A 12,755-nucleotide genomic window follows, 5' to 3' on the forward strand; every position below is an offset into this window, starting at 1 on the left:
GAGACTTTGTGTTTGCTATTCCCATTCCTTGAATGCTTTTTCCTAAGAGATCTACACAGCTTGCTCTATCTTTTAATTTCTATGCCCAAATGTTATCACTTTAAAAAGATATTTCCTTCCACCATATATAAAATAGTGACATCTCCCCACCATTAAAATCTCTTTCTCACATACCTTGCCTTATGAATTAATACATAATAGGTACACAACATAAATGTTTGTTGAGTGGATAAATACATCTTTTGCACTTACTACCTGTCTTTTCAACTTTAATAAATCTTCTGTGAGGCAAAGAGAGGTTATTTGGATGATTATGCATTTGAATGGGAGTAGTAATCCAATTAAATGACAATATTTCCTTGTGATTCATTAACACGAGCAACCTATCTTTTATGGAGATGTAACCACCCAATGGGTTCACCTTGCCGCTGCCTAGACAGAGCCGATTTATCAAGACAGGGGAATTGCAATGGTGAAAGAGAATTCATGCAGAGCTGGCTGTGTGGGAGACCAGAGTTTTATTATTACTCAAATCAGTCTTCTGGAGCATTTGGGGTTCAGAGTTTTTAAGGATAATTTGGAGGGTATGGGCTTGGAAAGTGGGGAGTGCTGATTGGTCGGTTTGGAGATGAAATCATAGTGGGTTGAAGTGAGCTTTTCTTGCTGACTTCTGTTCCTGGGTGGGATTGCAGAAGTGGCTGAGCCAGATTAACGGTCTGGATGTTGTCATCTGCTGCATCGGAATACAGGGTCTGCAAAATATCTCAAGCACTGATCTTAGATTTTGCAACAGTGATGTTAGTCCCAGGAGCAATTTGGGGAGGTTCAGACTCTTGCACCCAGAGGCTGCATGGCCCCTCCACCATAATTTCTAATCTTGTAGCTAATTTGTTAGTCCTACAAAGGCAGACTGGTCCCTAGGCAAGAAGGGGTTTTTCAGGAAAGGACTATTATCAATTTTGTTTTAGAGTTTAAACTGTAAACTAAATTCCTTCCCCCGTAGTTTGGCTTATGTCCAGGAATGAGCAAAGACAGCTTAGAAGTTAGAAGCAAGATGGGGTCGGTTAAGTCTGATCTCTTTCACTGTCATAGTTTCCTCAGTTATGATTTTTGCAAAGGCTTTTTCAGAGATGGACTACATGGATGTATATCGTACTTCTAAAAGTAAAACTGTAGAATCTAAAAATAATTCATAGTGAAGATCTATCTTAATGATTATTTAAAGCTTATAACGCAACACTATTTTTAACCTTAAACAACTTTTATAAACAACAAAAAAATCTGTGTGTTTAGGAGAGTATCCAGATAGCCAAAAAAGTGATAGAGAATTCCATGCAGTCTGGCTTTCTCTATTCAACATACTCATTTTTTTCTTCTGAAATTATTGATATTTTAAGACATTTTTCTAAAGCTGAAAAAATCATGATTAAAAAACTTCTTTTTTACAGAGAAGAGAAAGTAGGTGACATATTTTTCTTTCTTCACTTTCTTTCAAAGGTGAAAGACATGGCCACTTTTATTAAGCTTAATGCATTTCTAATTACAGCTTTCCTTGAAGTAGAATACTCTTCATCTGCATATTTGAAGTCAATTTTTCACTTCATATTTAATTTTTCATATTTCATTGGTAGTATAAATGCATCATTTAAAAATTTTTACAAATACAACTTATTCTTGTAATGTCTATGTTGAAATCAGCATAACCTCAATTCCTGAAATCTAAGAAGCAACCAAGATTTTGAAATAACTGTGTGTCTGTTTTTAGGGACATACTTTTATTTTCTCTGAACAAGCCTGTTGTAGGAATTAATGAGGGCATTTGTAATGCAATTTGTTCTTTCTCAGAGAAGGCATTATCTCTGAAAAGAGCAAGAATAAGATGTAACTCTATTCATTAGTTCCAATTCACACAAAAGTTGTGAGAACTCTCCAGACAAGGGTTTACAGAAAAAACATTAAATGGATAAAAGATTTTATATCCCAGAGTAATTGAGGATATAATACAGGGCTATGATTATCATCCCTTAATAGGACTTGCCACTCAGGAATATAAATTCTGTACAAATATGAACTAACTAAAACCTTCAAACTAACTTGATGAAATCCTCAACTGCTCTGGCCTTTGTTTAAAGCTGTGCAAACTAATGGGCTTAAGGTAACAGAAAAATATCCATGGCCACTTAATCTACAACTGCCGATAATTGTCTTCATTGTTTCAAATATCTTTATTGAGGTATAATTATATACTATAAAATTCACTCATGTAATGTGTGCAATGCAATGGTATTAGTAAATTAACAATGTTATGCAACCATCTACACATTCCAATAGAACATTGCTGCAGTTCCAAAAATTTCCACCATTCCCATCTACAGTCAATCCCCATTCCCTGCTGCAGCCTTACATAGTCACAGATCTACTTTCTGCCTCTATACATTTGCCTCTTCCAAACATTTCATATAAATGGAATCATACAGTATATAGTCTTTTGCATCTGCCTTTTTTAACTCAGTAGGTTATGTTTGAAGTTCATTCATATTGCACATGTATCAGTAGTTTATTCCTTTTGATTGCTGAATAGTATTCCATTATATGAACATACTGCATTTTGTTTATCCATTTGCCAATCAAGGGACATTTGGATTATTTCCAGTTTTTTGCTATTATGAATAATGCTGTTAGGGGCATCCACTTACATGTCTTTCTGTGGACATATGTTTTCACTTCATTTTGGTAGGGTCTTAGGAGTGCAATTGCTGGTATGTACGGTAAATTTATGTTTAACTTTTTTATTTTTATTTTTATTTCAGTCGTTTTTGGGGTACATGTGGTTTTTGGTTACATGGATAAGTTCTTTGTGGCGATTTCTGAGATTTGGCTGCACCTATTAGCCAAGCAGTAAATTATCTTTTGTATTTCTGTGGTATCAGTTGTAATATCTCCAGTTTCATTTCTAATCGAGCTTACTTGTATCTTCTTGGTTAATCTCACTAATGGTCTATCACTTTTGTTTATCTTTTCAAAGAACTGGATTTTTGTTTCATTTATCTTTTGCATTTTTTTTTTAGTTTCATTTAGTTCTGCTCTGTTCTTTGTTATTTCTTTTCTTCTCCTGGGTTTGGGTTTAGTTCTTGTTTCTCTAGTTCCTTGAGGTGTGACATTAGGTTGTCTGTTTGTGCTGTTTCAGACTTTTGATGTTAACTTTTTAAGAAACTGCTGAACTGCTTTCCAAAGAATGAAAACCAGAAATATGTGAAGGTTCCACTTCCCCTATGCTTTTGCAAACACTTAGTCCTTTTTTTGTTTTCAATGCAGTCATTCTAGTAGGCATGCAGTGGTATCTTTTTGTGGTTTTAATCTTTATTTCCCTAATAAGTGGTGATGATAAGCATATTTATCTTCACCACTATTAACTATTCATGTATCTTCTTTGGTGAAATGTCTATATGAATTTTTTGCCCATTTTTAATTGAGTTGTTTTTCTTATTATTAAATTGTAAGAATAGATATCTGAATACAATGCCTTTATTAGGTGTATGATTTGCAAATATGTTGTCCCCAGCCTATAACTTGTCTTTTCATTTTCTCATTGATGTCTTTTGCAGCACAAAAGTTTTTAGTTTTATAAAGCCCAATTTATCAAATTTTTCTCTTATGGCTCATGTTTTTGTGTTGTATCAAAGAACTCTGCCGAATTCAGGGTGATGATTGTTTTCTTCTATGTTTTCTTGTAGAAGTTTAATAGTTTTAGCTCTTAAAGTCTATGTTTCATGTTTCATGAATTAAATTTTAGGCAGGGTATGAGGTAAGGGTCTAAGTTCATTTTTTTTGCACATGAATGTTCAATTGTATCAACATCATTTGTTGAAAAGATTTCCTTTCTTCCATGAATTGTTTGTCAAAAATCAGTTGGTCATATATTTAAGGGTTTTTGCTTCTGGACTCTCAACTCTATTCCCATGGTCTATATGTTTATCCTTATACCAGTACAGCATAGTCTTGATTATTGTGTTTTGAAATCAGGAAGTGTGAGTCCTCCAACTTTCTTCCTTTTCAATATTGCTTTGGCTATTCAGAGTTCTCTGCATTTGCTTATAAATCTTAGGATCAGCTTGCCAATTTATACAAGAATTCCTGCTGGATTATTGATAAGGATTGCATTGAATTTATAGATCAATTTATGGGGAATTTCCATCTTTACAATAATGAATATTCCCATCCCTAAACATGACTGTCTCTCAGTTAATTTATTTAGTTATTCTTTAATAATTTAGCAATGTTTTGTAGTTTTCAGTATACAAATCTTATTTGTTCAAATTTAGAACCTCCAGTACAAAGTTGAATGGAAACAGTGAGACCAGATTTTCTTACATCCTTGTCTTGTATCTGATCTTCAGGTGAGGTAATTCAGTCTCTCACAATTAGTATGATGTTAACTGTGGGTTTTTCATAGATGTCCTTTATCTCTATTATTATTTGAAGCTGCCATAACACATAAACTATATGTTCTTATTTGGGCTTACTTTTCTCTCCTATTCTTAAAATCATTTGCCAGTATCAACTTAGGTAGTCATCATGGAATTTTTTTAAAAATGGGTAGGAATTTGATGATGGGGAAAAAGAATACTGCAAGGCTAATGGAACAATATTACTAAAACACAACAGCATCCAATATATTTGGGTATATATAACTGTCTTAATTTGGTCCATGGGAAAATCTGAGTGATTTTTGTAAAGATCCTGAGAGTTTTTAGAGCACTGTTGATAACTCTGGATATAGTTATGTACCCCAACTCTTTACTGAACGTTCATAAGTTAGATTTATTTAGTCTTTTCAATATTTATAGTTATGCATATTATTAAAATATACAATACACATATTTGTTATTTTCTAACGTTGGAAAACGAGGCATATGTACAAAGTCAAAGATGACTTTATTTACTTTTATTAAACTAGGACCTTGATACACACACACACACACACACACACACACACACATACACACACACACACAGAATAACTGCAGTAATATTTCATGTTGCTATTTGTATCTATGCTTAAAATATAATTGGCTTCAAATGACAGCACACTTAAAAAATCAAACAGTATATAAATGTATGCTATGAAAAATAACTAGACAAACAATGCTAGTTTCTTATATAACACCTGCCCTCACAATTTTATGAAGATAAACTTCTTTGTTCAGGATACCTATGTGCCCCTTTAAGAATGCATACTTCTACAGGTTTCTTTGCAGTTAAAAGGTGGCTTTGTGCCTTACCTTGGGCCATCAAGACAGAAGCAGAAGTTCCTAGGCGGGGGTTCCATATAATTATTTTCCTGATAAAAATGAAGAGTCTCAGGTAGCATGCAAATTTACCTTTCACCTTTCTTCATGTTCTTGCTGCCTGGAATGTAGACTAAATTCTTAGAGGTTGAGCCACCATCATTGCAATACTAACCACTAAAAACTGCACATCTGATTACCAGGAGCTGGGGCTGGAGAATGGGAAGATGTTGGCCTAGGATACAAAATTTCAGTCAGATAGCAGAAATAAGTTCTGGAGATCTGTTGATAGCATGGAGACTATAGTTAATAATAATGTATTGTATATTTCAAAATAGCCAAGAGTAGATCCTAAATGTTCTCATCACAGAAAAATGATAAGTATGTAAAGTGATAGATATGTTAATTTGCCTGAGTTTTCGTTTCACAACATGTGTGTATAAACATCACATTTTATACTATAAATGTATATGATTTTATTTATCAATTAAACCTTAATAAAGCCAAAAACAGGAATGTAAGGCAGGGAGGAAAACACTATCTCAATTTCTTGAACAGTTGCATTGACTCTTGCTTGCCCATTCATTGATCCCCTGTTTTGTGAAAATCAATAAACTCAAAATTTGGTTACGACACCATGGTCAACTTCTGCTACATGCTGTTGAATACTATCCTAAAATAAAACACCTTCCCACAACCAAACTTCATTGCTCCAGTCTCCCTTCCCAGAGGTACCTGTAACCACCCATTACTGTTGTACTCTTCCAAATAAATTTTATGCATTTTATTTCACTTTAAATACATGATTTCTAGGTAAGAATTTCATCAATTTCTTAAAATTTATGATGCATTTTGAAGACACTAGAATACCTCCTGGAAATGTTTAATCTAATATAAATCTTATTTACATTCTATATATAAATTTAAAAGCAAAGCATTTCTAGCAATTAAATCTTGATTTTGAATATGATGAATTCATTTTTTGGTATTTTTTCATCTAAAAGGAAAGCTTAGAGAACAATTGAGAAAACAGTTGACAATCTTGGAAACTTTTTTCAAGACCACAATCTTTGACGGGGCAGGAGCGGAATCTGGTACTAAGGATTTGAGAAATTATAATAGTTGTGTAATAATATGACTTTAAAACACCCCAGTGGCAGGGATTTCTGTTACTGACTATGAAAAAAGTCGCCTGTATCAGACTAAGCCTCCTACAGAGACAAACTATACAGTCTAAATAAAATATACAAAATAATTTTATGAAGGCGTCAAAGAGCAACCATAACAGACAGAACAAGAGGGACCAAGATCTAGAAAGAGGGGGCATGAAATGAGCCTGGAGATGCATGTGGTGACATGTTTCCTCTAAACGCATTTGCTTATCTTCATTAGATCTAGAGGCCCAACCAAAAGTAGTAGTCTAGAATACGCAACAGTCTCATGAGGATGGAGAGGCAAACATTGGAGCTCAGAGCTACAAAGATAGCCTATACTTCAGGTGCCAAAACCTTAGAATTTGAGAAAATTAAAGAACCCAACACCTGCACTCAATTTTCCCTTGAAAAATGAATGAAGTGAAAGGCCAAGAAACCCAGAAAAAAATCAGCTGCTAAGAGGCTATAATGCCAAGTAGATATTTAGGCAGTCTCATCGTGCTAGAGAGAGAAACACTGGAGTCCAGTTCCTGCCAAGGTGGAAGCCCCTGAATTAGTATGCTCTAGCAATAAGGAAAACAAATATAAATCAAATTTTCCAAAGCCTAAACTACAGCCTTGAATCTTGTTAATATAGGATGAAATTGAGGTGAAATAGACAAGCTTGTAATAACAGTAGAATATTTTAACACATCTCTCTCTGTAATCAATAGAATAGGCAAAAAAAGAATCAGTAGGGAATATTACAAATTTCTTAATTGACATATATAGAACACAACACTCTAAAACTATAAAACATACTTTTATATCTTAACTTTTTTACCCTTATAAACTAATAATCAGACTGAAAGACATTAAGCAATTCCAAAATTACACAAGATTATCCTCTGAAAGACTTCAGTTTCAAACCTGAATTTCACTCCAAAATCCATGCCCTTTTCTCTAAGCCGTAATACTGTGGTAGATTTGAAGTGATATTGCAGTGTTTTTCATGACACCAGACTTTCCTGATATGTTATACTTTTGAGCAATTTGTACATGAAGAGATGCTTTAGGGGGGAAAAGCACACACATAAAAAGCATATTTAAAAAAAGAGTTTCATGGCCCATTAAAATGGGTCCCAATGAAATGTGACTGTGTCCTTACAAAAAGGGATAAGTTTGGAGAAAGACATGCATACAAGGACTATGCCATGTGAGGTTAAAGGCAGAGTTGGGGTGATGCGTCTACAAGCCAAAGAACAGTAAATATTTCCAGCAAACCACCAGAAGCTAGAAGAGAGACATGGAAAAGATTCTTGATAGTCTCCAGAAGAAGCCAATCCTGGTGACATCTTGATCTTATACTTCTAGCCTCCAGACTGTGAAACAATAAATTTCTGTTGCTTAAAAAAAAAAGAAAAAGAAAAAGAGTGGTTTACCCCTCTACTGGCACTTCTCAATGTAATTTAGCACTTAAAAATTCAATTGTCATGAAGTCTCCTCAATTTTTTTAATCTAGTGTTTCCTAAACTTGTTTTATCTCATATTCAGCCTCACTCAAACATACTTTTTTGCATAAAGTCTATTAAGTAAACACCATATCATGAAAATTATAGGGTTTTTAAAAAGTATATCTGGAGACCTTTCTCAATAATAACCGCTCTCCAGTGTAAATTTGTTGCTTTGCTTCAGAGAATCTCCGAACTTTTCCAGTGAAGAAACATTTTATTTTCCCAGCTATTATAATCTCTTGGGGTAGAGTAGAATGAATGGGGAGGAAGAAATAAGATAATATTAACTGTAAAAGCTGCTGGAGCAGGGTCCAGTGCCTTTAGGACTCTCTCCACTGAGTCTTGATGGCTAGTAAGGAAAAACAGTGGAGATTAAAAGGGTCCAGTGTCAGACGAGACAAGTGGATTGTAGTTAACTTGATGGTCATGCCTTTGTCAGTCTTCAGAGTGCCTGTTATAACTCTCTTGTCTATATTTCTATCTCACTCCAATCTTCTCTTGTGATTTTGCACAGTTTTTACCTCTTCTGGAAGAACACACTTGAATAATAGACATGATCAGGAGATGGTGTTTGTATTTGTACTACCTTGCTACACAAACATACACCCAGCCTTGGGACCCCCTTTTAACTGATTTGTTTCACAGAAGACTTTATTATAAAATTCTGATCATATGTAAGAATTTTTAAAGTTTTTGGTAGTTAATGTTACTGCTTAAAGGAAAGCTTACAGTTTCCAAATTCAGGTAACACAAGACAATCAAAAACTTCAAATGAGTCATAAAAGAGAAAATACAGTATTGCCAAAATAAATCTACAATAGATATAAATGCAGCTTTGAAAGATCTAAATAAAAACTTTTCTACAAAAGTGAAAAAAGTTCATATCCAAAGTTGGGAAAGGCAGTCTTCCTTCAAATGCATTTTCTAAATGTATCAGCCTGAAAATAATTAATTCCAGAAAATGGCTTCAAATGCATTGTCATTCACAGGAAAATCATCATTAGAATCATTCAGATTCACTCCTACCTTTCAACTCATAAGACAAAATTAGACACAATGGCCTACTTAAGGAATACACACACACACTAGCGGTATTATAGCTTTGAATTTTTGATTCATCATTGATAGCACAGTGAGGAGCATAATATAGGGCGAATGTTTTAAGAATTCAACAAACCATGTCAAGTATTTTGTAATGAAATTCTTCTGAAATTCATTTTTAATTACAAAATGTGTACTTTCTCAATAAATGATAGTTTATATAAGTCTAGGAAACAAGTGTTTCTCAACAAAATTATGGGGATTCTTTACTGGACTTTCTTTATGCCTGTATTAAATCAAACCCATTCCATAAATATTTATCAACAGCTATGTGCCAAGACTCATGCTACCTGTTGGGGGATGTAGAGTCACAATCTATTGAAATCTGGTGAGTTCATCTTAATTAGAATTGAGGTCACACTGCAGAGAAAATGTTTCAAGAGTGTTTTAAAGTATAAAAGGAAACCTTCATGTTTGGTAATCTTCCGGGTTTCATGAACATTGTGTCATGATTTTTTTTCAAAGTTATTCATGGGCTTTCAAACTATGAGTTGGTGCAGGTATTTAGTATCTTTTTATATTTGGTTCTTACTCTCCCCCACTCCAATCTATCATGTTAAAAGGCATTTGAAGGTGAATGACTTGCATCATGAATAAACTCAATTGTTCAGCAGACAGCTCTTTAATTATAAATCTTTAAATGTTTGGGAGGACAGCATTTTACTTAAATTCCCTTCATACAATGACAAATTATGAAAATACAACTTTTGTATTCTATAATTAAGAGAAGATAATGCTAAAAAAGGCCGAAAGACATATTCTTTTTTTAAGTGTATATAATGGTACATGTTTACCTGCTGTCTTTTCCATAACATTTAAAGTCATTTATGCAGTGAATATGGCAAAGTGTCTTGCTATTAAAAAATATATTCTTTCTGCAGTACAGAACACTTTAACAAAGTAATGCTGGATATGTTTCAAGTCAGTAACTCTAATGGCATTCTTCAATTTCTCATATTACTAACCCCTCAGAACAAAAGTGCCACTATTAATAGGGTTCAGATATTCTCACTAACTCATTTTGATTTCCATTGAAACCTTTTCTTCATATTACATGGACTTTCTAAAAAGTCTTCAAGCTTTTTAAATATTGAATGTGAAGACTAAAGCCAGAAGCTATTTATTTGGGAAATGAATTATCCTAATCTCTTGCAGCCATTTCTATACTATAAAAACGAAGGAAAGAAATGAAGAATAACAACAGGAGGGACAAATGAGCAATGACAAAACTGAAGCCTGGTTTGAACGAGATAGTTTTTGATTTCCAAATGAGAATTTAATGGTAAAATTCAGGAGTATTCAAAACTAGGTGTCTAGTTTATAGTTGCTAAAATGTAATGAACTTGCCTTGTTAAATTGGCTTAGGAATTTATAGTATCAGTTTTCACAATTCAAACCTATATAGAGAAGACACATTTTAAATCAACTAATCAAATGCATTCTTTAAATCCCTCAATATATCCTAATGTACCCAGCAACGTGTTAGGCCAGTGGTTCGCAAACTTTTCCTTACTTGAGTCTGCGGGTAGGCTTGTTACCACACAGATGAGCTTTAATGCCACAGCTTCTGATTCAGTAGGTCTGGGGTGGGACCCAACACTTTGCATTCTAACATATTTTCAGGTGTTATTAGGCTGGCATTACAAAACACCACAGTCTTGGGTGGCTTAAACAACAGAAATTTATTTCTGACAATTCTGGAGACTGGTAAGTCTAAGATCAAGATGCTGGCAGGGTGGATTTTATTCTAAGACCCCCTCTCTTGGCTTGTAGCAGGCTGCCACCTCCATGTGTGCTCAAGTGACCTATTCTTTGTGCAGAGAGAGAGAGAGAGAGAGAGAGAGAGAGAGAGAGAGAGAGATCTATGGTGTCTATTCTTCATCTTATAAGGACACCAGCCCTGTCCCTATCAGATTAGGGCCTCACTCTTTTGACCTCATTTAACCTTAAATACCTCCTTAAAGGTCCAATCTCCAAATACAGTCACATTGGGGGTTAGGGCTTCAATATATGGATTTCTGGAGAACACAATTCAATCCATAACACCTGGTGATGCTGCTGCCATGGTTCCAGAAACCACACTTTTGAGAACTAGTATATTAGATACTGTGATTAATACAAAAGTATATTTGCAAAGACTACTGTCTTCAATAAGCTTCTGTTATTTTCAAGAGAAAGATCTAAGAAATATAAAATATGTAGAGGGCAAACTAAAGATACAAATGCTTAATTTTATGCATGTGTCAAAACATAAAGTATATACATGAATTAGAAATTTGGACATGAGGTTCTTATGAACACCTTGTTGTTGGTAAGATATCAGATAGCACTACTAAAATTGGTAAGATTTTGAAAGTTAACGTGAAAAAAATATGGATACGAGGAAACAACAAGGCAATGATGTGGAGTTTGGAATGAGTGGAGTATATTTGAATGGAAAAAGTAAGACGATTTTGTCTGAAGAAAAACTTATGTGGATTATAATGGGAGATAAGGCTGATAAATTGGATTAAACTATGAAGAGTAAGAATTATAGGGTCTGTAAGTTCCCAAGAAAAAGAAAACATGATGAAATTGGAACAATGAACACTGAACAAGAATGAGATCTAGGTGGTTCAGGGAAGTATCTACATTTTACATGCTCTCTACTTTCTCTTTGTTTGCTGTGTTTCTGGAATTTGTAAATTGCAAAATATTGATGACTGTTGAGAGAGCTTATTTCTTTGAACCATAATGCATGAAAATCATCTATAACTCTTGGCTTGCAAAAAGGAATCCACAATCTTTCTCCATATTACAAATTATATAATGTCAAGTAAGAAAGTGCAAAATAATTATGAACAGAATTTTGTCTCTTTACATTCATTCAACATCACCACCAAGAAATTACTTGTCTAGAATTTGGCTGACACTTTGGAAATGTACATAACTTATTTATATTAAAGAGTTTAACTGTATTTCTAGTGTATATAAATATGCTCTTATGATGCATTATTTTGTTTGGTTTCCATTCTCAGTAGAAAGAATAGATATTATTTTCCCTATGGTTTTATTCTCAATGGAATGAATTATACTTATGATTTTATAGTTATGCCATATATATTTGAAATCAATGTTTTTAAGGTAAACCTGGAGAATAAAAATTAACAAATATACTAATGTACCTCAAGGACTGTATTATTAAAATTTATTTTGCAACGTTTGTTTATTTGGATTAGTTAAAAGTAGAGATGTCTTAGTTATACCACTTTATAATTAAAAAAAATCTAGCCCCAAAATGAAACTCAAGCCTTTCATGGTGCAAAAGAGAGGACAATCTCATTGTCAATCTGTGTGCTCAGAAAAACTCATTTTAATGGAGACAAAATTATAATGCGTGAAGAAAGCCTGTACTTCTTGGAATTCCTCTTGTAATGTATTTCCAAGAGCAGTTACTTTCTACAAACCGAAGTTTCTAGTGAATATAATGTCATAAATATAGTGTTGGTGAAGCGCACCACAATTGTGTTGAAAATGGATAGATGTTTATTCAACACAAGAATACAATTTATAAAATTATTGCCGGGAAAAAGCATAGGGACTAACATGTTTGCCACCAGTGCTGACTCAATTTGTTCACTGGGAAGGCATATCATGATATAGTATTAAGTGTATGAAACAAATTAGGAAGCATCTCTCTTTTCTGCTGTAAGACTGTTAGAATGCCACTGGAATTATTT

Source organism: Homo sapiens, chromosome X (assembly GCF_000001405.40).
Source record: "Homo sapiens chromosome X, GRCh38.p14 Primary Assembly".
Lineage (NCBI taxonomy): Eukaryota > Metazoa > Chordata > Mammalia > Primates > Hominidae > Homo > Homo sapiens.